At 48.9% G+C, this 4,625-nt stretch overlaps 1 protein-coding gene across 1 annotated transcript, besides 1 other annotated feature; it reads right to left on the bottom strand.

The window, feature by feature from the left end:
• Positions 1–479: 479 nt before the first annotated feature.
• Positions 480–4,374, bottom strand: LDOC1 (LDOC1 regulator of NFKB signaling). The gene has a single exon (NM_012317.4). The coding sequence runs from the start codon at positions 4,264–4,266 to the stop codon at positions 3,826–3,828; it is 441 nt and encodes a 146-aa protein (NP_036449.1). The 5' UTR covers positions 4,267–4,374; the 3' UTR covers positions 480–3,825.
• Positions 3,439–3,938: an enhancer, noted in NCBI's record as "H3K4me1 hESC enhancer chrX:140270379-140270878 (GRCh37/hg19 assembly coordinates)". NCBI's record gives its function as "activates a minimal SCP1, AML or CMV promoter by ChIP-STARR-seq in naive H9 embryonic stem cells {active_cell/tissue: H9 hESC(naive)}" and the evidence as "EXISTENCE:reporter gene assay evidence [ECO:0000049][PMID:30033119]".
• Positions 4,375–4,625: the final 251 nt, after the last annotated feature.

Genomic DNA, 4,625 nt, shown 5'->3' on the forward strand with positions numbered 1-4,625 from the left:
CTAAAAATACAAAAATTAGCCAGGCACTGTGGCGGGCATTTGTCATCCCAGCTACTCGGGAGGCTGAGGCAGGAGAATCACTTGAACCCAGGAGACAGAGGTTGCAGTGAGCCGAGATTGTGCTACTGCACTCCAGCCTGGGCGACGGAGCGAGACTCCGTTTCAAAACAACAACAACAACAACAAAAACACAACAACAAAAAAAACAAAACAAACAAAACAAAATAAAACAAAAAAACAAGAAAAAAATTTAAGCGCATTTTTATGCAAATATCCCACTAACTTCAACAAGACTTCTCCCTCTAATCTGCCTACTTCCAAATTACTGAGGTTTTAGCCATGCTTTAATAGCAGAAAATAATCAAATATACATGTGCATAAAGTACCTCTAGCTTTATATACCATTCTGCAGGATACAGCAACACGGACTTAATAGATGGCAGTGCTTATCTATTCAAATGAATAGAAGAGTCCAAAGATATATTGGTATATTTAATACGATTAAATGATTACGACATTTAATATGACTAATTTCATTTCATTGATAGTATAATTTCAGCGGCCATTTCAAGTCTATTACGCCCAAAATGAGAATTCAGGGTCTAAGTTCATATTTATTCAGCATTCCTACCTATTTTTAATAGTTTTGATCAAAGTGGCACTTTTATCCTTAGACATACTTCTACTTCTTCCTTCTTTTTTGCCATGCTTTATGCCATTATCATGAATTCCTCCCTGGGTGGTGGAGCCCTTGCCAGTATCTGCGCTTTTATTGCAGAATCTGCCCCCAAAGTAACCAGAATCCCTTTTCTGCATCTCACAGCATAACCTGTTTGTCCATGATGTAAGAAGGACATCACTTAACACACACACACACAGAGCACACACATACTGGGTCACAGCAAGCTCATGTGCACATGCACACATACTCAGGAAATGTACACTTCAGATCACAGAAGCTCCCTGGCCTAGTTCTCCCAGATGCCATTCAGATGCTGCCTTGGCATGGCATCCTTACTGAACCTCCCTTCCTCCACAGAACACCTACTCATATGTCCTCAACTTCCACCCCAGAAAGGTCATTCCCAGATCTAATCACAGCCCAGATTCTCTTCCTGGCCCTTTCCTGTAACTAATCATCAAAGTTCTGACCCAGGGCACAGTAAAAGCAGCAGACTGGACTCGCTATGAAGGCAGAGATCACATTTTATTCAAAGATGTTTCTGTAACTCCACTCAGCATAACTGGGCCATAATCAGTTTGGAATAAATGACTTTTGGTCTCACTGGATCCTTTACCTTTTAGATCTTGCTCACTTTTCCACATTTATCCCCAATTCAAGGCCTTTCTAGTTAGGAAGAAAGTGTAATTATCTGGCCTCACACATATTATGTCTCAAATATAATCTCTCTCTTCCAAGGGGTTTTGTATATTTTCCAAGGAGACTGGGAGAAGTGATCAATGAATTCTAAATAACCAGCTGTCTCCTTGATTCAGATTTGGAGGCGGCAGCTCCCTGAAGAGCCCCAGATCTCATTTCCACCCAAGCCTCAGCCTCTTTTATTAAGTCATACGCAACCCTGTCCCCACCCTCCAGAAACAGCTATCCTAGGGGTGAGATATAACTCCTACCCTGAACTTTGCCTGTCCACCACGTAAAACAGCTTTGTTTCTTGCTTCATATAAGACTCCAAAAAGTAAATGGGGTCTTATCATGCTCTCATTTCCATTCTCCCTGAACCTGCTCTGCTCCTCTTCACGCTGACATTTTCCTACTAAAGCCAGGCTCAGAGTCAGAGACTTGCTTTCTGAGACTTCTGTTCCCTGGCCCAGGAGTAACAGCCCATGGTTTGCTGAGTGCTCACCATGTAGCAGGGAAAGTTCTAAATGCTTCATGGGTATGATCTCATTTAATCCGCACCTATGAGGTGATTAATATGAAGACCCATATCTCATTTAATCAACACTGAGGTTTACCAGTACAAATACAATATCTTGCCTCAAAAGGCCTTAAACAGTACGGAAATGTGTTATCTAAATTAATTAAAGGTTATAAAGTCAAGTTGGCTCCAGACATGGTACAATGAGGACATCTGGACAGATATAAAAGAGAACTCTGAACCCCTCATATCCTCCTAAACCTTTCTAAGAGGCAGTCCTCTCAAATCCCCAACCAAGCTGCTCTGCATTAAACATTTCAATGACTTAACCTGGAGCAATGGCCTCACACAGGTATGCAGCTTCTTCTCAGCAGCCACCCCCTTCACTGCTCTGAACCCTCCAGGCCCAGAGATCTCAGCATAGCCCCTAGATAGCAGTACAAGGTCTGATTTAAGAGATAACCAAGCATCTTGCTAATTTCCATAGGGAGGAATCTGGGACACATCTATGAGTGGGAATTCTAAGGATGTCTGTCCAAGGAGAACGAAATGTTTGTTAAGATCAGGCTATATCTTTATGGGTGCACTTGCCCAGGATCCGGGACTTAATGTTAGCTGGAGCACCTGAAAGTGACATGTTGGCTATTTGGAGTTTGAAAGTGACAATCTACTATGTTGGCTCTCTGGAGTCTGAACTCAACAGCTGCACATAGGCAATAAGGATTAAGGGGCAGAACTTCCCTGGCACAGTGTTAAGGAATCCAAAAGCTCAGAGAATTAGGAGCATTACATATATATGTCCAGGTTTACGCCTATTGTTATGGTCTAATTATTAATACTGCTCTCTTTGCCGTCTGCTCAGCCAACCCTTAACCACGCCACCCTGGAGGACCCAGAGAACACACCCTTTGCCAGGGCTTTAAGAAATGCGTTGGTGAAGGGAGCATCAGAACCCTGACAAAGCCCTGAGGTAGCTGTCCCCAGCAGCCTGGAGATGACAGCGGGGAATACTAGGATTGGTTGTATTCCCTGATTTCCACGGGAATAATGGTAGTCAGAGTGACAGTGGTAGAGGCCAGTGATAGCACTTAACCATTAAAAGACAATCATTTCTTTTTTTAGTGCTTGATATTTATTGAAAATAATGCCAATGCTTTTTCCAGGTAGTATTGAGGAGCTGGGCTGAGTGCTTGTTTGTTTTGTTTTTAAGTACTATTTGTCCAAATGCACACATCTGTGGGACTGCTGCAATTTTGAAAGAAAAATGACAGCTGTGTAAAACCAGTGCATAGGAAAAAAGAAGTGTCAACAATTTGGCTGCCAGGCACACCGCGCCCCTGCAGCAATCTGGTGGGGCAGGGGAGGACACTCGGAGTAGGTAGAAAACTAACCAGGCTGAACGGCCCCTTCAGGGGTTGGTGAGCTGTCCAAATCAATGTCTGAAAAGGCATAGCCAACTCTGGCATTTTCCAGGTTGGTCCTGATCTCGAAAGGTGGTAGTCTGTAGGTGGGATGTGGTGAGTGGATGTGAAGTGGCAGCATAGTTCTCTGGGAAGATGTAAGCCTGGCAGCAGGGCAGGTGGCAGCAGCAGGGCTACGGGTGGTCTGCGCAGTTTGTAACAGGGGCCTGGCCAATAGCTGGGGTTCAGGACACAGTTCAGATTAGCAGGGGAGGGATCCCGGGGATGGCCAGGGTAGATGACACTTCCAAGCACTTCCGAGTGAGTGAGGCTCCAGCCCCGACCCCAGCAGCAGGTAACTGGAGCGCTATTCCTGGAACAAAGACAAGCACTACGGAGAAATGAAGAGAGAGAGCAGACGGGCGCGGGTAGGTAAGGGGACCGGAGGGCAAGGGGGAGAGCAGTGGCTCCTGGCGGGGTGAGGGCTGCGGGGAGGGGGTGGCGGCGTGCAGGGCCCTCCCCCCCGAGGCCCGAGGGTCGAGGGCCTAATAATCATCCTCCTCTTCTTCGTCGTCGTCGTCTTCGTCGTCATCCCAGCCAAAGCACTGTTTCATCTCATCGAGGAAGGCCCGGTAATCACCTAGGATGGGGCTATCCATCTCGATGTAGGGCACCACCCACTCCTCGGCTTCCCCGGTGAGGAGGCTGATTAGGAATGCCACCTTCATGGCGTCGTTGCAGAATCGGTTCTCGTTCACGAGCATGTAAGACGCCGTCTGCACGATAAACTCGGGGAGCCGGGAGCTCTCGCCATTAAACGTTTCGGGGAAGGGCACCGGGCAGCTCGGCGGACGTACCTGGCGCAGCAGGCTGGCCCTCTCGCACACCAGCAGCCGCAGCTGTTCCATGAGCTGGCTGTTCTCGATGCTCAGGGCGCGGTGCCGCATCAGGAGCGCGTGCAGCAGCAGCACCAACTCATCCACCATTGCGAACGGCCTGGAAGGACAGGACTCGGCTCGGTTCGGCTCGGCCAAGGTGCGCACGGAGCCCTCGCAGGAAGTGCGTGTCCACGGAGGCGCTTGGTGGCCAGGGGCGGGGGGCGGGGGGCGGTGTGCGCCGGGGTCCGGGAGGCTACGCAAGCTCCGCCCACGAGGCCATTCGGACGGACGGTGCGCCGGCGCGACGGGGGAGGGGCGTGGCTAGGCTGGGAGTGGGGGGGCCGCGGCGGCGTGGGGGCGTGGCCGGGATGGGAAGGGTGTAGACAAAGAGGGCGTGGCCAGGAAAAGGATGCGCTGGGTCGCTGAACCACCGGCTTGTGGTAGGTCTCTCGGCGGGCAGTTAAAGG

The sequence above is a fragment of the Homo sapiens genome, chromosome X, assembly GCF_000001405.40.
Source record: "Homo sapiens chromosome X, GRCh38.p14 Primary Assembly".
In the NCBI taxonomy this organism is placed as follows: domain Eukaryota; kingdom Metazoa; phylum Chordata; class Mammalia; order Primates; family Hominidae; genus Homo; species Homo sapiens.